This window comes from Homo sapiens, chromosome 15 (genome assembly GCF_000001405.40).
Source record: "Homo sapiens chromosome 15, GRCh38.p14 Primary Assembly".
NCBI classification, from domain to species: Eukaryota; Metazoa; Chordata; class Mammalia; order Primates; family Hominidae; genus Homo; species Homo sapiens.
This window is the reverse complement of record NC_000015.10, coordinates 27,084,982-27,107,557: the sequence shown is the minus strand read 5'-3', so window position 1 is coordinate 27,107,557 and position 22,576 is coordinate 27,084,982. Positions and strand designations below refer to the sequence as shown.

The window sequence follows — 22,576 nt, the reverse complement described above, 5'->3', positions numbered from 1 at the left end:
TTTTATGAGGCCAGCATTACCCTAATAACAAAAATAATAAATAAAAACACTACAAAAAAAGAAAACTAGAGATCCACGTTTTTCATAAAGCTACATGCCAAAATCATTAAAAATATTAAATCTAGGAATACATAAATGTCATCACAAGCAAGGAGGCTTCATTTCCCAAATGTATAGCTGGTTCAATATTTATAAATCAATGTAAATCACCATATGAGTAAGTCAAATAAGAAAAACCATACGATTCTACCCACTGATGCAGACAAGCCGCTTGACAACACTGAACACTCATTCATGAAGATCACCTTAAGGAACCAGAAATACAGGGAAACATTCTCAATATAGTAAAAGTAATATATAAAAATCCTACACCTAACATCATATTTAATGGTAAGAGACTGAAATCTTTTCCCCTAAGACTAGGAATATTTAATGGTAAGAGATTGAAAGCTTTTCTCCTAAGACTAAGAATATGGCGAGGATGATTTTTTTCTCTACCTCTCTCCAATATCTTACTGGAAAGCCTAGCTAGTGCTAGTTCTCATTTCCAAAAGGAATGTGTAAAATTGAAGAGACTGTATGGAATTGTTTTGTGAAGCTATCTAGGCCAGGATATTTCCTTGGCAGACTACTACAATTATAAATTAAATTCCTTTAATGACTATAGGGCTAGATTGTTTATTGAACCCTGATAGAGTTTTAGTAGTTGGCAGTTTTTGAAGAATTAGTCCATTTCTTCAAACTACTGAATTCATGAGCATAAAATTATTCAGAGTGTTCCTTTTTTATCTTTTCAATAGCTGCAGACCTATAGTGATATCCCTCATTTCATTCCAATAATGATGATTTGCATCATCTCTCCTTTTATTTTTGTCAGTCCTGCTAAATCTTATAAATTGTATTGACTTTTTGAAGATCCAGCTTTTTGTTTCATTTATTTTCTCTATTTTTCTATTTTCACTTGCATTAGTTTCTGCTCTTTAGTACTGTCTTCCTTCTGCCTGCTTTGGATTCTTCTTGCTTTTCTTTTTCTATTTTCTGTAAGTTAAAAACTTAGATACCTTTGAAATCTTTCCTCATTTCTTTCTTTCCTTCATTCCTTCTTTTTTTCCTTTCTTTCCTGCAGGACTGCTCAGAATATTTTTAAAATAATTTTATTGTATATACTTAATGTATACAATGTGATGTTATGGGATACATATAGATAATAAAATGGTTACTATAGTAAAGCAAATTAACAAATCTATCATCTTACATAGTTGCCCTTTGTTTTTTGTAGCAAGAGCAGCTAAAATCTACTTATTTCCCAGGAATGCCAAATACAGTACAATTTTATTATCTCCTGTTATGCATTAGACGTCTAGAAACTTGTTCATCCTACATATTGCTACTTTGTATCCTCTGATATACACATCCCTATTTCCTTCTCAGGACCCACCGCTGGTAACTATTGTTTTATTTTCTGTTTCTGTATAGTTGACGGACTTTATACATTGCATATATAAGTGAGATCATGCAAACTTTTCCTTTCTGTATCTGGCTTATTTCACTTAGCATAATATCCTCCAGGTTCATTCATGTTGTGGCAAATGGCAGGATCTCTTCTTTTTTAAAGTCTGAATAATATTGCATTGTATATACACACCACAGTTTATTTATCCATTTGTCCATCCATATACACTTAGGTTGTTTCCATATCTTGGCTATTGTGGATACGCTATAATGAGCATGGGAAAGCAGATATATATATGAAGTGGTGATTTCATTTTGTCCCAGAAGAGAGGTCATATAGTAGTTCTATTTTTAATTTTGTTAAAAATCAGCATACTGCTTTCCATAATGACTGCACCAATCTACACTTCACCAACAGTGTTCAAGTTTCCCTTTTCTCCATACCCCCACCAATATTTGTTGTCTTTTGTTGTCTTTTGGCTTTTTGATAACCGCCATCCTAAAACGTTATGTTAATGATTTCTAGTCCGATTACATGATGGTTGCAGAACAAATTCTTTATGATTTCAATTATCTTAAATTTTCTGAGATTTGTTTTGTGACCCAAGATACAGTATATCTCAATGAACATTCTATAAGCCCTTGAAAAAATGTGTATTTTGCTGTTGTTGGGTGGAGTATTCCATACATGTAACCTAGATCTTGTTGGTTGATTGGCTGATCAAATCTGCTTGACAATTCAGGAAGTGTATACTACTATACCTTTTCCAAGTATAATTATAGATTTATACATTTCTTCTTTCAGTTTCATCAGTTTTTGCTTCATGTATTTTGAGGCTCTGTTGCTTGATGTGTACACATTTAGGATCATCATGTCTTCCTGGTGAATCGATCCTTTTATCATTATGTAACGTTCCTCTTCATCTCTAATAGTTTTCTTACTCTGAATTTCACATCATTGAATATTACCATAGCTTCTCCTGCTTTTAAATTTTTAATTAATATTTACATGGTATATCTTTTTCCATTCTTTTACTTTCAATCTATGTTATTTAAATTTTAGTGGGCTTCTTGTAAACAGCATATAGTTGAGTCATCGAAATTTTTTAATGTTTTAATCCACTCTGCCAATCTCTACTTTTTGATTGGTGTATTTTGATTATTTAGACTTAAAGTGATTATTGACATGTTAGGGCTTATGTCTGCCATTTAATATCAAATTATTCTATCTGTTTCCTCTGGTTCTCTCAATTCTTTTAAAAGGTTTGAAAAATGTATAGTTCCACATAGACAACAGTGGAAAGAAATTCTATGATTTGTTACCATGGCTTTCTCTGTCTTGTGTGATCCCAGTGTATTTCAGTGTATTGCACAGTCTGTCTTCGATTCAGCTGAGGAAGCAAACAGCACCTGGGGCTTTTGTTCCTACCTAGGCAGATCAGCTCATTTAAAGTATCATGATGCAAAAGAAAAAGTTACAGGCAAAACACCCACTGAGGCCAGGCGACCTAAGCCATGCCTCGTTGGTGTCTGTGGAACAAATGCACAGCACGTCACTAGACATACCATATATCAGTGTTTCCTTGGGAGTGAGTGAGTGAATGAGAGAACAGTTTCAATAAAACCCATACACAAAACTACAACAAACCAACCAATAAACAAACACAAATTTTTAAAGTCCACATCCTACTAAGACTGGATAGGGAGCATCTACATTCATACTCAAACTCACGCGCCACTTTGGCCATGACTGACTCATGCCACGCCTCTGGAAGGCAACAGCACTTGGTCGATTTAACTTCATCTGTCCTGGCTCGTACCACTGATTCAGCCAATTGCCATGAGCAGAAATGAGAAAACGTGATATAGAAATAAAATTAGTGAAATTGTTTTGAGGCAGAATAGCTAAAGATCCTAAAAACAGAAGCTAATATTTTTAAGTGACTTCACATTTCATTAAATTTTCTCTTCTTGAAACACTAAAAGGCAAGGGCCATTTCATTTTCTATAACCTCGATAAACAAGTAAGGTACAATGAAACTACCTCAACTTGGTAATTTCCAAATATTGAGCAGCACAGCTCCATAAGGTTCTGGCTGAGCCAGCCTTTTGTTCATTAATACAAGTGCTTATTTATCTTCCCACTAATTATTAAAGAAAATCCTCACCATGGGAAACAGATATGTCAAAAGAGCATTTACAAGGCAGTCATTTGAAAGGTGTATAATTCTATAGCTGAAGACATATATAAGAGCAGCTAGAAAACTGTGGGTGGATATGCCCCAAGCTATTGATATTGGTCACCTTGAGAGAGAACCTCAAGAGTTCTGAGGTCACCTTGAGCGGTCACCTTGAGAGAATGACCTCAAGAATTGGTCATTCCTTGAGAGAGAACAAGGAATGGAAAGGCAAATTCATTGTCTTTAATAGGCCGTTGTATTGTATGCTTGTTACAATGGATGTGTAACATGTTTGTAATCTTAAAAGTGAAAAAACACTTAAAGGGAAAGGGGAGGGGTTAATTTTGCTTTTCTCTTCTCCATGCTCCCTAACCGAGCTTTGGTATTTATTAAGGTGGTTCTGTTGCTTCTGATTCCCTGCAGCTGCAGGGGCAACCCTGTACGGTCTGGTGCCAGAAGGCTGGCCACCCTAGTTGGACATGCTGTGGACCCTGGATGGACCTGCTGTGGACCCTGGGTGAACCTGCTGTGGGGATACTCAGGGTTCTGTGGTTCAGACACTCCTACTTTAACTGTGCCTGGGGAGTGGTGTTTCATGTGAGCCTCCAACTGCAAAGGGTTTAACTTTTAAACATTACTAACACCTGAACAAAATAGAGTCATTCCTGAGGAGTGGGTTGTCAGTACAGGGAAAATATGTATACGTCAAAGAAGAGGTAAGGTTTCTGGGCAGGCCCAGAACCTTCCAAGAGCACCTGTGGAGCATGGTGGAGTGTGTTGCTCCAGCATCAATTTCATACAGATCACAACACCTGTTAAATCTTCCAAATTCACTGACAACTAAGAAAGACTAGGACGAAGACTAGTTTCATAATTCACAAACCTGAATGCTGAAGGCATAATCCAAGCTTTCAACTTTTTACAGGATAATAATCCAAAACAATTAAAGAAAGTATTCATTAGAAATAGAGCTACATCATTTTTATCAATGGCAGTTTTATTTGTTCTTCCTGGAATTTTCAATATTTAAGACATGGTTAGTTTTTAATGCCGGTGGTACTTGGGGGAGTACTATGGAAGAAAAAGTATCAACACATACAAATTATATACTTATGTCGGTAAATAAGATATTAACAACCACACATGACATTTAGTGGTTATTAAAATCTATTTACTTGTTAGTACTTTTATTAGGAGAAGTAAGCTCACAATTATATGGTGGAAATACTGTAATTCAACCCATAGCATCGTATTCCTGAAGCACCTAGTGAAGAAAGTAACTTGTTTATAGTTATGTGACCAAGGAATAATCTTCAGCCAAAGATTCCATACACTTACCAAATAGACTTTAAGTAACAAATGCAGTCCCCACGACCATAATAGAAAATCCTCTCACCCAGTGAGCCAAAAGCACAGAGTTGTCACCAAGCATGATTTTATAAAAATTTAATATTAGTATTATGATCTGTTGTTGTTATTGTTATTATGGAGCCCAGGCATTTATCTGAACACCTCTCATAAGAAGGAATAGGCCTCCTAATCAGTTTTTAGAGCTCAGTTCGAGTTTCTAGCTCCCTCGTGGAAATTCTGATTAGTCATTTCCAAATCCTCAAAGAAAGAAGCAAGTCATAACAAAAACCAAACTCATTTCTAAAACTGTGTAGAACACAGCAATTTTCAGAATTTTATGTTCTTAAGACTGAAATGAATTGACTAGCTCTCCCAGCTCCTAACATTGGCAGCAGCCCATGTGTGTAATGGGACTCCCGGGCCTTGCTGAAACACAGAGCTCAGGAGTACCGATCCACTTTGGAAGACATCCCACATCAGGGGAGTCCACGATGGCGTGGCTTGGTTCACATGGACGTAGAGAGGCCGGACGTGGTACATCTTTTATATTTCATTTTTAGTTGGTTTTTGTATAGGATGTGAGGTTAAAGTCTCGGGCAAGCTTGTCCAACTGGTGGCCCATAGGCCACGTGCAGCCCAGGATGGCTTTGAATGCAGCCCAACACAAATTCATAAACTTTCTTAAAACGTTATGATATTTTTTTCAGAATTTTTTTTTTTTTTTTTTTTTTTTAGCTCATCAGCTATCGTTACTGTTAGTGTATTTTATCTATGGCCTAAGACAATTGTGGTCTTCCAGTGTGGCCCAGGGAAGCCGAGAGATTGGACACCCCTGGTCTAGGGTGTTGTTTTGTTTTTGTTTTGTCTATGGATGCCCAGTTGTTCCAGTGCCTTCTTCCTCCATTGAATTGCTCTTGCACTTTTGTCAGTAAACAGGTCGATGTAATTGCATGGGTTCATTTCTGGATTCTCCATTCAGATCTATGTGTCTACTCCTCTGCCATACCACACTGTCTTGATTATGTAGCTATATAATATAGCTTGAAATCAGGCAGACTAATTCCTCCAATTTCATTCTTCTTTTTCAAAACTATTTCAGCTATTCTAGGTGTTGTACTGTTCTGTGAAAATTTTCAAATAAGCTTGTCTGGATTTTGGTAGGAATTGCATTAAACCTGCAGATCACGTAAGGAAAAATGGACATCTTTACTATGTTAAATCTTCCAATCCATGAAAAAATACATCTCTCCATTTACTTAGGGCTTCTCTGCTTTCTTTCATTTGCATTTTATAATTTTCAGCATATATTAATAGATTCTGTACCTGTTTGTTAGATTTATACCTAAGTATTTCATTTTTTGAAGCAACTGTAAAAACTATTATGTTTTTAATTTTGGTTTTCACATGATTTTTGTTATTATATACAAATGTAACTGAATTTGGGTGATAATCTTTTATCCAGAGACCTTGCTGAACTCACAAGTCCTAGGATTATCTGGTAGATTCCTTGTGACTTTCATGTAGACAATCAGCTTATCTGTAAATCAGGACACTTATTTTACTCTTGCCAATCTACTTGCCTAATAATTGCTTATTCTTGCCACGTGCAGGTGCTAGGACTTCCAGTGCGACATTGAAAATGACAGTGAAACCACACATCCCTGCCTTGTTCCTGGTCCTCAGTCTTTCACCATCAAGTTTGATGCTACCTGTAGTTCTGCGTGCATTTTGTAGATGCTTAGTATCAAGCTGAGTAAGTTTTCCCCTATTCTTAGTTTGCTGAGAGTTTTTATCATGAATAAGTATTATATTTTGTCAAATACATTTTCGCATAAAATGATATAATTGTATGATTTTTTTTCTTTTGCCTGTAATATGGTGGATCACACAGATTGATTTTGAAAGCTGAATCAACCTTCTATACCTGAAAGAAATCCCACCTGGTCATGATGTATAATTCTTTTAAACTTTGCAGGACTCTATTTGCTAATATTTGTTGAGGAGTTTTGCGTGCAAGTTCATGAAAGAAACTGCTCTGTTGTTTTTCTTTTTTATGCTGTCTTTATCTGGTTTTGGTATCAGGTAATATTAGCTTCATAAAAAATGATGGGGAATGTTTCCTTCTCTTCTGCTTTCTGGAAGAGATTTTGTAGAATTGGTGTTAATTCTTCTTTAGCTGACTGGTAAAATTCTCCAGTTACACCATATAAAACTCAAGATTTCTTTTTTGGGAACATTAATTACTAATTCAATTACTTAATCGGTAGAAGAATATTCAGGTTTCCACTTCTTTTATTGGTAGATAGTGAATTTAAAAAAACTGGTCCATTAATTCTGATTTTTTTTTTTTTTTTTTTTGAGACAGGGTCTTGCTCTGTCACCCAGGCTGGAGTGCAGTGGCACGATCTTGGCTCACTGCAACCTCCACCTCCTGGGTTCAAGCCATTCTCCTGCCTCAGCCTCCCCAGTAGCTGAGATTATAGGCATGCACCACCACACCCAGCTAATTTTTTTTGTATTTTTAGTACAGACGGGGTTTCACCATGTTGGCCAGGCTGGTCTCGAACTCTTGGCCTCATGATCTGCCCACTTCGGCCTCCCAAAGTGCTGGGATTACAGACGTGAGCCACCGTGCCCGGCCAATTCTGATTTTTAGAATAATGTCAAATTTATTAGTTAAAAGTCTATTATAGTATTCTCAACTTATCCCTTTAGTGGCTGTAGAATCTATAGTGATAGACCACGTTTCATTGCTAATATTGATGATTGGTGGTTTTTTGTGTTTTCCTCCCCTTTGTTTCTCATTCTTCTACTTCTCTTATCTTTCCAGGGATTCTTGAACATTTTATGGGATTTTTTTTTTATTCATAATGTTTTTAGTATATTACTTGTACAGTTTTCTTTGTGGTTGCTCTGGATATTACAACATGAATACATAAATGTTAGGGGCTGAATTGTGTCCCTCCAAAATTCGAATGTTAAAGTCCTAGGCCCCAGCACTTTAGAGTGTCATTGCATTTGGAGATTGGGTCTTCAAAGACGTAATGATGTTAAAATGAGGCTATTACAGTAGGTTCTAATCTAATACAAAAAGAAAAATCATAAGAAGAGAAAACTTGAACACAGGCACAAACAAACAGGGGAAACCATGCGAAGACACAGGAAGACAACAGCCACCTAGGAACCAAGGAGAGAGGCCTCGGAAGACACCAAACCTGATGATCTTGGACTTCCAGCCTCCAGAATGGTGAGAAAATAAAGTGCCCAGGCTGTGATGCTTGGTTATGGCAGCCCAAGCAAGTAACGCAACAACTTAGCACAGTCTACTGTCATCAGAGTGGCTTAGCACTTTGAGTGAAGTGTAGAAAACTTACTTCCATTTAGGTCCTTTTACTGTCCTCATTATTTAGATGTAATTGTCTAAGTATTTTCTCTGCATACTACATATTTTGCCCAATAATTACAACATCTCATTCATCTTGCTGTTGGCAAAACTCATTTCGTTCTCTTATTCAAGGGTGTCTTTCCTGTTTTGCTGTAATTCAAGTGAGTTTTGATCATATCCTCGGCACTTTGGACATATTACGGGACTGGGGCTAACTCATCATGTGTTGTCCCTTAAGTCCCAAGGTCACCAGGCAATCCGCCTTCTTCTTTTCCTGTGCTGGCTTGTTTTGTCATGACCAGGGACTTTTGGTCCTAAGAGGAAACCAAGAGCAAAGGGGCAGCTCCATCTTGACTGGCACTAGAAGACTCTCTGGTATGACACATTTTATCTAGTATATTGAGGGTTTTTATGTTTCTGGAATCATTTATTTTTGTCATTTTCCATATGATAATTTGCCACATATGAATTCTGCAAGAATTTCTAATTTACTTGGACAAGTAGAGACTTTGCTTGTCCTACTAGACTTAGGAGACTTTCAGTACCAAATCCTGGAATAGGTTTAGGGAAGGCTCAAACTCTTTAAAATAATCTTGATGACAACTGTCAAACTTCTTATTTAAAAACGAACAAAATATTTCCTCTTCCTAATGCCCAAGTCAAGTTGGCTTTAAAAAAAGGATATCATATCTTCAAAATTAGGTTCTGAGATACTGACATTCAGTTTTTTTGTGTATTTTTGTTGTTGTTGGTTTTTGAGACGGAGTGTCTGTCTGTCACACAGGCTGGAGTGCAGTGGTGCGCTCTCAGCTCACCGCAACCTCTGCCTCCCAGGTTCAAGCAATTCTCCTGTATCAGCCTCCCGAGTAGCTGGAACTATAGATGCCTGCCACCACGCCTGGCTATTTTTTGTGTTTTTAGTAGAGATGGTGTTTCACCATGTTGGTCAGGCTGGTCTTGAACTCCTGACCTCAGGTGATCCACTCGCCTTGGCCTCTCAAAGTGCTGGGATTACAGACGTGAGCCACCACACCTGGCCAACATTCAGTATTTTTTAAAAGACTGAATCTTCTCTTCCTGTGTTCTCAGAGCATATTAACAAAAATTTAAAATACTAAAATTGTGATAACTCCAAATCATTCAGGCCTAACTCTTTCTGTGTGTTACCCAGGACTTTGTTGTTACAGTTTCTTTTTTTTTTTCTTTTAATTCCTTCTCTTCTTATAAGACATCTGATTTAAAAAAAAAAAGAATAATAGATTTAAGAAGAAAAAAATTAGCTAATAATGACAGCAGGCTTGTAATATTATCATAATGTCATTTATCATAGATATCCTTATTCTCCAGGGCAGCACTTCTCAAATCCTTGACAGTATGACATTTTGGGCCAGCTAATTCCTTAGGGAGGGACCTTTCCTGAATATTCAGGCTGTTGAGTGGCCTGCTTGGCCTTGACCCGCTCACTGCCAGTAGCACACCTCCCCCAGGCTTCAGCAGCAGAACACCTCCAGTCACTCAGTGGGGACTGGGTAGGTGGGAGACAGAATCGCACCAGTTAAGTGTCTCTGCGGCAGGGTGAACAGAAAATTTAGAGAATATTATAATTAAAGCTGTAATCCTGAAAGACAAAAATGATTGGGAGTGGTTGGAAAAAGGAAGGAGAGACAAGAAGAAAGAAAAAGAGAAAGAGAAAAACAAAGGAAGTAAAGGAGGGAGGGAAGGAGGGAAGGAGAGAAGGTAAAAATAACTGAATAAAATTTTTCTATGCCTCAGGAAAAGTTGTGAATGAGGTGAGCTGTGTCTACAGGGAAGATACTCTTTCTTCCTAAGCCCAGAGAAATAGGGCCCTCTTTCTAAGCCCCAAGTACCCAGGGTCCCCAGGAGCCCATACTCTTGCCTCAAAACATCTGCAGCCTTTCTGGGCAGCTTCCTCTGCCTTTCCATTTCTTACATGCCCAGCAGCGGGCCAGCATCTCCAAGTATCTGCCCACCAGAGCTCAAAGTCTGGTAGAAGGATCTGACACTAGAAAAGCATTCAAGGCCAGGCGCGGTGGCTCACACCTGTAATCCCAGCACTTTGGGAGGCCAAAGCGGGAGGATCACCTGAGGTCAGGAGTTTCAGACCAGCCTGGCCAACATGGTGAAACCCTGTCTCTATTAAAAATACAAAAAAAAAAAAAAAAATAGCCGGGTATGGTGGCATGTTCCTTTAATCCCAGCTACTTGGGAGGCTGAGGCAGGAGTATTGCTTGAACCTAGGAGGTGGAGGTTGCAGTGAGCCGAGATTGGGCCACTGCACTCCAGCCTGGGCAACAGAGTGAGACACATTCTCCCAAAAAAAAAAAAAAAAAAGATAGAAAGAAAAGAAAAGAATCTCATTTGTGTGGTTCACAAGTGCTTTCACGTAGAGTTGGACACATACAGCAATAGAAAAACAACAACAAATACAAAAAGAAGGTGGACAGGATCCAAAACTGGTCCCTTTTCTGACCCAGTATGAATTTATTAATTATTTGGAAACTGGTTCCAGATTTGAAAAACATATGCAAACAGAAGTTAGTATCTTATAGTTATTGGTCCCTCCCAGAAGATACAAAAATGAAATGTATACACAGAGCTACTGACAATGAGAAGGAAAATGCTGGTTCTAATTTCATGCCTTGTGCAGAGATCCTTGTCCTAAGACAATTTGAGATTCCAGCTCAGCAGCCCTGGCTTCAAAGTCCAAAGATGAATAAGCTGTGAGCACAAAGGTGAGCAATTAACTAATCATCTCTCTGCTGAAAGATACAATTTTTTCTGATCTGCAAAATACAACAGAGGAACAATGATTCATATGGTTGACCAGATGTCTGTGGACATGTTTTATCCCTTTACTGCACTAGATGCTCCTGAAGGGCAGAGACTTCCTCTGATGAAACTCAGAATCCTCAGCAGCGCTGAGCCTGGAGCCCCTACACAGTTGTGCTCAATAAATATTTGCTAAACTAAATGACAAACATGAAGAAAAGACACGCAGAAACCAGAACCCTGCTTTGTGTGACGGTGCCCACTGTGAATCGTGAAAGAACAATTTGTCATGAGTTAGTATGAGCTGACTGGCTATACTTTGCTGGGAACCGTATGTGATGAATTGGAGCATTTCCAAATGCAAGGATCTGCAGCCTGCCAGGCTGACCATATGGTGGCTGTTGATGAGATGCGATAATCCAGGTTGGGCTGAACCGCTGGAAATGGAAGAGTTGTTGTGGGTGCCCAGGAAGGGAAGGCGGGTCCTGGGGGACATCCTGCAGCCAGGAGGAGCTCAGTTTCTGCATGCAGAGAAGGGATCAGGCATCCGTGTCTGAAAACGGGTTGGTGTGGAAGAGGAAGTCAGAAGAGGCAGAGCCAGGAGGAAGGCACGTGCTTCCCGGACCAGGTCTCTCCTCCTGCGCTCCACTGGGAGGACACTAAAGTCCCAGCCTCTCACTGCTTGGAGCACAACATCCAAAGAGAAAAACCTAAGTTTAGTGAAAGAATAGGGAGCAGATGATACTTGTCTCCTCTCCCATGCTGTGGCATCATTCTCTGCTAGAAAGTGATGAGTATACACTCGGTTATGAAAATTGTGGGACAGCTTTACAAATAATTAAATTATGAGGGACAACCACGTGTAACGCCACGAGGAAGAAGTTCACTGTGAGATACCACACCTTCCAGCACATTCGCCAGCATCTATGTGGAGACCGAGACCTACACAAGGGAAATCACTGTGATGAGAAAGCGTGTGTTTCCCACACCTGTCGCAAGAAAGTATATGGGGTGTGTCTTGATTTCCAGAACTCTCTTTTATCATCACAGAAGCATGTGTGTGTCTGCATATGCATTTACCAATTCTTATACCACAGTGAAGTTCTGTAATCCATGCACTTTTGCCAAAACAACCATATAAATGCCTTCATTCAACAGAGTTGCCAAGAGCCAGCCACACAGGGGCCTGAGCTGTTTGCTGCTGACATGACGGTGATAAGACAGTCTAAGTCCAAAGTCCTGGTGGAATTTGTTACTGAAATGTCATTTTTTAAAAAACTGACAATGGGAGACATCGGTGTGGCGAAAATCCAGTCCTGTTCATTTGCAGAGATGCCTGTCTCTCAGAGGGTGGAGAGTGTATTAGGGTTAAACACTGAGGCAGAGCTTTGAGGTACAGCTGTAAAGAAAAGAAACTATGGTATAGACACAGATAATTATGTGTCTTGTGTATAAAACAGGCTAGAAAATGCTATTCTCAGTGTAAATTGTGTGTATGTTTGTTGTCATAATATATATATTTGGAAAACTATATACTAAAATTTAAATGGTAATATCTAGGATTTTTTCTTCTTTGTGCTTTGCTATATTTTTAAATTTTAACAATAAATATCTATTTGTAATCAGAAAAGCAAATCTTTTGAGTTTATGCTGCACAAAGCATAAAAGTGCTGCTTCTAGTTTATTGAGTTAATTTATGTCCTACACTCTCCACCCTCTGAGAGACAGGCATCTCTGCAAATGTAGGTGACATAATGCTCTCAGGCCCAATTCCAACAAGGGAAGGCTCTCCCTGCTCCCTGCAGAACTGCTTCCCTCTATTTATGTTTCCTGAGCCCCAGGAATCTGTGCCTCCTCAGGCCCAGAAGCTTTTCTTAGAATCCAGGAAGGTCAATCCCATCTGTATGGCCACATTCCAAACACATTAAAACAAGATCATCTATTATCTGGGGCTGAGACTGGGAGACACTGTTTTCTAGACCAAGTACACTGCAAATATGGAGGCAGACAATTTTTTAAGAAGGCAGCTGGTGCAATAAAAAGCTGCAGAGCCTGATAGTCCTCATCTGGAAACCCTCATCACCTCAAATGCCTTGGGCCATGCACTCCGGCTTTCTGACCCCTGGTCTCCAAAGGAGTAATGAGGAAATAATGCTCACCCCTGCAGCCTCTGAAGGCTTGACTGCTGTGGCCTTCACTCTAAAATGGAAAAGGCAAGCACCTGGGTCCTTGGCACAGAACCCAGGACAGGACTCGTGGAAGCAGCCAGCTTAATTCAGGTCTGTGGGCTGTATGGAGCAAATACTCGCAACCACTAAGGGTAACTATATGCATCTCCCATGTGCCAAAGACTGTGCAATGTGATCTGCATGCATAAAACCAACATCAGGTGTCAGAACAATGGCAGGAGGACTAATACTGCTAATAACATCTTTATTTTTTATGTGAATGGTCATGGGGCTGAGAAGGTGTCCCATGGCACTGGCCTTGAAACCAGGTATTCTGACCAAACTGTGAGCCACTATGCTCTGTGCCTCCCAGCATGAAGTAAGGCATGAACCCATTTACACGCTGAAGGGACCTCGACATTTAAAAAGGTGCAATAGTGTCAATACCTTCTGAAGTTCCTTTTTTAGGGCTCTTTATGTCACTCTCTGACTTACAGAGTATCCATCATACTGGAAATTGGGTTTCTATCTTGAGTGCCCAAATATTGTTGCCAAAATTTTCTAGCCTGATATCTTTCTAAAATTTTTAAAAATAAAAATTTTAAGGGCCTTTCTTTTAACAAAACATCATAGCTACGACCATGCATAATCTTTCTGTATGTCCAATAGAAGGATCAACATTAGAAGTCAAGAGAATGCACACTCAGGACTGGGCCTTGTGTATATGAACAGCAGAGTCCCCGACTCCAGCAGGGAGCCGCAGGGCTTAGCAGCTCATAACAAACAGTACTTACGATGTCATGACAGCTGACTCTCAGAGAGCACCAGTGGACTGTTCAGTGCTTCATACGCTCTTCTCAGAACTCCTGACTATTATCATCATCATCCCATTGCACAGATGGGAAAACCAATGAGGAGGGCATGTAAGGGTCTGCTCACTGTCATGCAGTAAGTGTCAGAGCCTGAGTCAGCCTGGCTGCACCCCTCCACTTCATCACAGCTCTCCTGCCTCCACCTCACCAACCTGGCCACATGTGACATTGGTCTGTTCCGTTCTCATTTTTACACTCCCTTCCTCACTAGCTTCAAGCCTCAGGTGCCCAGGATACAATGCTCAGGCACTCTCTGAGTGAGCACCCACTCTAGAGGAGATCCTCTCTCTCAACCCAATGGCTGCCTGTCTAGAGGAGTCCGTGGGGTAGGGTTCAGTGACTGGGGATGTGTGCCAGGAAAACAAATTACAGAAGGAGGCCCCTTCTCAATTCCCTTTCAACTGCACCATGCAGGAATCTACAAACTCAGCTACCAGACCAAGTCTAGTGAAAACTCAAGGAGAAGACCCTGTGGATGGAGATACTGGTAATTATGTGGGGCTGCAGGGGGGACACTCTTCTGGGAGGGAGAGAGCTGCTGTTTGATGGACTTCTGTGAATTCCATTCCTTAATTTTGTAAAACAAAGACACCGAGCAAGTCATCTCAAAGGTCCCGCCCTTCCTGTTCTGAAAACTCTGTAATTCAACTTGCACACAAAGCAAACACATATTTGATAAGCACATCTATTTTTCAATGGCTGGCCTGACTGTTATTTTCTCCAGCACTAAATCACCCGAGATTAAGCACAGTCCGCTGCACGGCAGCTCACACGGACGGGGCAACACGACACAGAGCCTCCAGAGCATCCGCTTGTTGCTGCAGACACAGGAACAACCATTACCTGTGAGTGCTGCGGGTCCTTACACAGCAGCTACCTGACAGCAAACAGCTGTCCAAGGCAGGCAGGACCAGATAGTGAGGTCTCAGACAGTGGGAGAGGAGAGCAGAGAGATGAACATGGACACATAAAAATAGGATAACAGAGAAAACATGAAAGACACGCCCTGCCTCATTTGCATTTATTTGGAAATGCACACACACAAAGAAGCATTCTTTATAAGACTCAAATCTGGGAGACCATCCCCCCTAAAGATTCCCCAGTTCTGTCAGAAAGGAAGTCAAAAACTAGTAAACTGAGTCATAACAGAATGACATGGCTGGTGTGATCCAGACACAGAAGCCCGGGGTGAATGGGACATCAGAGGGTGCTTCCCGTAGAGGGCCAGGTGAGAGAGGAAAATGATGAGACTCTTTAAACTCCACAGTAAAAGAACTGTTGCTTCATAAAACAGTGAGTGCGTAAGAAAAGTTTATTTAACAGGTGTGACATCAGCAAAAGTGGTGGAGCAGGGACCTCTGGGGTGTTCCTCCTAAGAAATGCTGAAAAACTTGACAAAAACTGGCAGAATCAACCTTACCAGCATGCCGAAAGATAGCCACAGGGTTATAACAACCAAGGAATGTTTGCCACTGAAACAGGACAGGAGAACACTGCAGGATTTTAGCTTGCCGTAGCTCTGCCCCACGATGCAGTACAGCAGCCATCTTGAATAGGGCAGGCCGAGTTTCCCATGTGGACATTTCTGGAAAGAGCAGAGTGGATCTTATACCCAAGGAACCACGTTTGTTGGTTTTGACCTGACAGGGGTTTCCCTGGAAAGACATATGCAGGGAAGTGACTCACAAAGAAAATGGAAAATCCGAACAGATCTAGAGCAAACAGCGAGGTTGAATCAGTGATCAAAACTTTCCAGCAAAGAAAAGCCCACGATCAGATAGCTTTTCTGGGAATCCTACCAAATATTTAAAGAAGAATCAACACCAGTCCTTCTCAAACTCCTCCAAAAATAGAAGAGGAGGAAACTTCTAACTCTTTCTATGAGGTCATCATTACAAAGCCAGGAAGAGACATCACAAGAAAAGAAAACGACAGAACAATATCCCCTATGAATATATATGCAAAAATCTTTAACACAATGCTAGCAAACTGAATCCAGTAGCATGTAAGGGATTATACATCATGATCAAGTGGGATTTATCCCAGAAATGCAACAGTCATTCAGTATACAAAAAGTTAATGCAATACATCACATTAACAGAATGAAGAGAAAAACAAAATGATCAATTGATACCAAAAAAGGAACTCACAAAATACAGTATCTGTTAATGATGAAAAATTAACTCAATAAACTAGAAGCAGAACTTCCTCAACATGATAAAATGTATGAGAAATCTGCAGCTGACATCATGCTCAATGACAAGACTGCACCCTTTCTCCCTTAAGAACAGGAACGAGACAAGTATGCCCTCTTTTGCAACATTTTACTGGAAGTTCAAGCCAGAGCAATTAGGCAAGAAAAATAAGTAAAAGGCATCCAAATAGTAAAGGAAGAAATAAAACTATCTTTACTTACATATGATACACCCTTATATGTATAAAATATAAGAACACACCCACAGTTAGAGCTAATAGACAAACTCAGCAGTGTTGCAGGATATAAAATCAACTCAACAAAAATCAGTTGCACCAATTTCATATGCCAGCAATAAAAAGCCTGAAGAGGAAACACACTAGCAATAAGCAAAAGTAGGAAAACTATTTCATTTACAATAGAGTCAAAAATACTTAGGGATAATTTTAGCCAAAGAAGTACAAGTCTTGTATACTGAAAATTATCAAATGTTGAAACATTTTTTTAAAACACAAATAAATAGAAAGACATCCTAGATTCATTAGTAAAATGTAAATCAAAAACACAATCACATACCTCCTCACAGCCACTAGGATGACCATGAAACTAAAATAAAATAAGTGTTGTAGAGGATGTGGAGGAATTGGAACCCTCATAGGTTGTTGGTGGAACTGTAAAACGGTGCAGCTGCTATAGAAAACACTTTGGCAGTTTCTCAATCAGTTAAACATAGAATTCCCATATGACCCACAATTCCACTCCTAAACGCAGGTGCTGCTCAGCTTACAATGGGGTTACCTACGGATAACCCACCATATGCTGAAAATACTTTAAGTAAAATATGCATTTAATACAACTAATCTACCAAACATCATAGCTTAGTCTAGCCTACCTTAAACATGCTCAGAGCTCTTTATTAGCCTATAGTTCAACAAAATAATCTAACACAAAACATACTTTATAATAAAGTGTTGAATATCACATGTAATTTATTGAAAGTGAAAAACAGTATGGTTATGTGGGTACTCAAAAGTATGGTTTCTACTGAGCGTGTAGTGCTCTCACTCCATTGTAAAGTCAAAAAATCTTAAGTCAGGGACTACCTGTCTATACACAAAAGAACTGAAAACAGGTGTTCAAACAAAAACTTGTACACCGATGTTCATAGCAGTTCTATTTAAAATGGCTAAAAGGTGAAAACAACTAAAATGCCCATCAACAGATGAATGGGCACACACAATGTGGTATATCCATATAGTGGAATATTATTAAGCCATGAAAAGGAATGAAGTACTGACACGGGGTGCAGCATGGATGAACCTTGAAAACATGATGCTGAGTGAAAGAAGCCAGTCACAAGAGGGAGGCCACATGGCATATGATTTCATTCACATGCAATATTCAGAACGAACAAATGCACAGAGGCAGAAAGCAGATGAGTGTTTGCCGTCCTGGCAAGATGTCCTCCCTTCGCATGACCACAGCCTTCCTGCATGATCTGCCACTGTGCCCTGTGCTCGGGGGTCTCCAATCCAAGAGCCTCTCTCCCCCGCCTACCCTGAGGCCTGGCAGGGGCTGCTACTATGGTCACACACGGTAGAGTCCTGTGCAAACACATGCTTGTCTCCGAACTGCCTTTCAACTCTGAGTCTGGTTCCAGGGCTATGGACCCCGGATGTACCCTAGAGTCACCTGGGGAGGTGACTGAACCATACTAATGCCAGCCTGCCCTAGAGACTAGACTTAGAATGTGGACAAGAAGCCTCTGGTGTGCTCCCCACAGAGGACACTGCAGCCTGCACCCTCCTCCCAAAGTGTCTATACCATGGGGACTGCAGGCAGCAGGTCCACCTCGCTCCTCCCAGTTGCCTGCAGACGAGCTGTCCTCTCCAATCCAAGGGAATGTCGCGCTCTGTGGATTCCGCAGCTGATTCCCCAATGCTTGGCCACCGTTCTGCCTTCCCTGCGGCTCCTCCTGACCCCAAGGCCCTGCTTCCTGTCCATTCTTTGCACCCACAAGTCTGGTCCTTCCACGGTCCTTCCTGCCCTATGGCCCCAGCTCTTATCTTCCAGAGGATGTGCCTGGTCATTGCCCAGGCCTTAAGAACCGACATTCTGCTCTCAGACGCCCTGCTCAGGGCTCCAGAGCCCGGCGCCAGCCAGCCTGACACCCCCAGGCTCTCCCGTGTTCATCGGGCTTCAATGCCCTGGACCCGGCACAGCCCCATTCCCCTCCTTCCCAGCCAAGGCTGTGATCCTCCCCATGCATCTCCCCCATGGCTCACCCCGTCTCCCTTCAGAGTCCTCTACTGCAAAGTGCAGCACCGCTTCCTCGGGCACTCACATGGCTTGGCTCTGCGTCCCCACCCAAATCTCACCTCCAATTGTGAGGGGCCTGGTGGGAGGTGACTGGATTTTGGGGACGGTTTCCCCCATGCTGCTCTCCATAGTGAGTTCTCAGGAGCTCTGGTTGTTTACCTCCTCAGGTGCTCGCTCTCTCCTGGCCACGTGACGAAGAAGCCCGCTTCCCCCTCGCCTTCCACCAGGATTGTGAGTTTCCGAGGCCTCCCAGTCAGGCTGTTAGGCCTGCGGAACTGGGAGCCAATGAAACCTCTTTTCTTCAAAAGTTGCCCAGTCTCAGATAGTTCTTCACAGCAGTGTGAGAACTGGACTAATACAGGCAGTGTTCACCCGCAGCCTGCCCGGCACACAGCCTCCCCAGTTGGCCAGAGTAAAGCCCCTGGGGCTGCAGACTCCCAGCCCTGCCTCCCACGAGCGCCTGCCCTCTGAATAGCGCACCCTTTCCTTCTCCTGGGGCTTCCCCAGAGCCCTGGAGGCGCCAGGACGAGGACCCCACCTTTAGCCACCACTTCCCACTCCTGGCCCGCGCCCGCCCCCGCGCCCGCCCCCGCGCCCGCCCCGAGCACTCCCAGAACGCACCGCGGCGCCCATCTAACAAACGTGAGCCCGCCTGCAAGGCTGCCTTTCCAGGCCCACTCACACCCTCAGCTGCTTCAGGCCTCTCCACACACATGCGTGCACACACACACACACACACACAACCACGGCACATCACACACACTCACACACACACTGCAGCACACCACACACAAACACCACAGCATATCACACACTCATATACACATGCACACACACAACCATGGCACATCACACACAGAGACACGCACATGCACACACACACTCCACAGCACACACCACACACCACAGCACATCACACACACACCACAGCACACCACACTCACACATGCACACACACACCCCATAGCACACCACACACACCCCACAGCACATTACACACACATACACATGCACACACACCACACATAATCACACTCATATACACACATCACATTCATACACACATGTGCCTACATATACACACACCACACACTACAGCACACCAGACACACAAGTACATGTACATACCACACACATACATGTACACACCCCCACTCATACATTCCACAGCACACCACATATGCACACACAGATGCATGCACAGCACATACAATCTCACACATTTGCATACATGCATACACACATTCACCCTGACATGCACACACCTCAGGCCCTCCTTACTTCCTTTTCCTGCTTTACTTTTCCACAAAGACTTTATCACCATGTGGCATGTTCACATGTCCTTTTTAAAAGTCATCTTGGCCCACACTTTCAAGTGTCAGCTCTGTGAGTGCACAGATACTGTTCTGTGAACCACTGTGCTGCCAGCACCCCAAGGCGGTCTGACACAAGTAGGCTGTCAATAAATGCTCAGTGAGCCACTCATCCTACAGAGCTCAGAAGAACACGAACTGTGGACCCCGAGGTGAAGCATGCAGGCCGGGATTCCACTCAGGCCCCTGCCCTGGCACCAAGTCCCCAGAGGTCAAGGCTCCCATGCCCTGGCATGGCATAGACATGCCCGCTGCACCTCACTGAGCAGCAGCCTCGCTCGATGTCAAGTGTGGTTTCGATCAGCTCAAACTCCCTCGCTGCTGAAGACGCAGACTGGAAGGGGCCTCTCAGGTCACGTCACCCATCTCTCAGTCTCCAGTCAGTCCAGCCAAGCACGGGGGCTGGCCCCGTGCAACCTGTTACTGTGATGGCTCATGAAGCAAGAACTCAAAGATGTGATTTGGGCACTGCGTGTTTTCTTTGGCCTGCAGACACTTTCTGGAAACGGAAGTCTGGGCTCCCCAGAGGGGTTCCTTTCCCTGTCCCTGCCCTTGTCCTGCATCCAGCTATGGAAAGAACCACAGACACAGTGGCCCACAAGGACGACCTGAAGGCAAGTGCTTCACCCAGCAGGCCTCAGAGAAGCCAGGACAGCACCTCAGAGAGAGCCTCCAGAACTCAAAACTCTCCCCACCAGAAACTGCTACAAACAAAACATTTTCAATCTGACAGAAATAAATCAGCAAATCCAGGCAAACCTGAATGTTTTTTGCATGCTTTACCTAAGCAGCAGCAATTCAAATAAACCGCCCATTGAAAAAATGCTTGTGGAACTAACCTAAATGTATGTTATAAAGCTTTGAATACAATAACTTCATTTTTGTTCAATTTCCTTTCCATGTTGACATTAATTACAGTTTTGACAACTTTCCATTGTATAGGACTTTCCAATTTGAAAAGTGCTGTCATACATATTATTCTTTGGATTTTCAATACATTCTGGCAGGGGAGGCAGGGTAGTAACTACAGCGCTCATTTTCAGAGATAAAGTTGGACTTCCCAGTCTAAGCTCAGAGACGTGCCCGAGTGACACAGACATGGATCTGGAACTGCACCTCCCCCACAACCCATGCTGCCTTTGTAAATGCGCAGAACTCTGACCTGCTCTGTCCCCAGTAGGAGCAGGCTGCTCACAGATGAAGGGGGGTTCTTTCTTCCACCAGTGACCCTTCCTCCTCCTGCTCCTAGGGAATATTTTATGAATTGTTGCCTGGCATGTCGGATCCACAAATATTCATTTATCTGACCCCTTACTCCCTCTACTCCATGTCCTTTACAAGAAAAAAAAAAAAAAAAACTGCCAAAACTCCAAAAGGTTCAATTTTGTTAAACTGTATGTAATATTTAATCTTAAAAACCAAGGAAAGTTTAGAAGCTGATAAAACAGGAAGTTCTTACGTTGAGCTCTGCCATATATAATGCAAATTTGGAGTTGGTTTTAAGTTCTTCAATGAAATGTTTAAAATGTTAGTTACTATAAAGTACACAGGTCACTATTCTGAATCTAAAAGCAGGATATATCCAAAGAGCATAGATGATCATTGTAGATTTGCAGAACATAGGAAGGATTTCAGTATACTAAAATAATATGCTAGGGAGAAAAAATAAGCTGAACAATTTTTATTGTATTTTAAAATTAGCATTTTGATATTTTCAAATTAACTGAAGCTTGCTACCTCCCTCCAATGCAGGCCTGTGTTGTTTCATTCAATCTCTCCCTATCATAGTTCATAAACAAAAAAAAGTTTGTTATTGATCACCAGATTAGCAATTTTTAAGTTAGAATAATTGATGTTATGCAGTGATTGTCAGAGGGAAAACAGCAACCTTCTACACTGTTGATGGGAGTAATTTGAGACAATATATTTCAAATTTTTTAAAATGAAATTTTGCAGTAACTATACAAATATAAGTGCATAGACCTTGAAAACAGCAGTTGAATTTCTAGGCACATATCCCAGAGAAATATTCCTAAAAGTATTTAAGGGTGCCTGTGTAAATATATTTCCAACTGATTTGTTTGGAGAAAAGCTGAAGACACCATCAATAGCACACTGGTTAAAAAATAGCTGGTGTACCAGTGCTATAGGTTATTTTGCCTCAATCAGAATGAGGCAGATCTATTAAGTCTGTGAAAGGTGATCTGTTATGATGCAAAAAATTACAAATAACAAGATCACAGCCTAGAGATGTGACATCCCATGAGGTCAGACTCCCCTCCTCTCCAGCACTTCCTCCAGGGTTCTCACACAAGTGTCAGAATGACTGTTCACACCAGCCTTGAAATGAAACCCTTATTTGCCCTCTTATGTGGTGCATGATACTCTCATTCAAACATGCACCTGCTGAGTATCGAATAAGCCTGAAGTGCTTCTTGACGAATACTGCCAAAAGTCACTTCTATGAATTGCTAAGATCAGAGGCCCTTCAAC

At 41.7% G+C, this 22,576-nt stretch overlaps 1 protein-coding gene and 1 long non-coding RNA gene across 3 annotated transcripts in view, besides 1 other annotated feature; one reads left to right on the top strand and one right to left on the bottom strand.

Moving 5' to 3' along the window:
* The window catches only part of GABRG3 (gamma-aminobutyric acid type A receptor subunit gamma3), a 570,804-nt gene that overhangs the window by 434,427 nt on the left and 113,801 nt on the right, over positions 1-22,576 (bottom strand). The gene's annotated exons all lie outside the window — the stretch shown is intronic.
* LOC107984766 (uncharacterized) lies at positions 6,649-20,288 on the top strand. The gene is made up of 4 exons (XR_001751460.2): positions 6,649-6,735; positions 8,606-8,742; positions 18,878-18,941; positions 20,204-20,288. It is a non-coding gene; the product is annotated as an uncharacterized LOC107984766 (long non-coding RNA).
* Positions 19,866-20,366: an enhancer, noted in NCBI's record as "H3K4me1 hESC enhancer chr15:27332339-27332839 (GRCh37/hg19 assembly coordinates)". NCBI's record gives its function as "activates a minimal SCP1, AML or CMV promoter by ChIP-STARR-seq in naive H9 embryonic stem cells {active_cell/tissue: H9 hESC(naive)}" and the evidence as "EXISTENCE:reporter gene assay evidence [ECO:0000049][PMID:30033119]".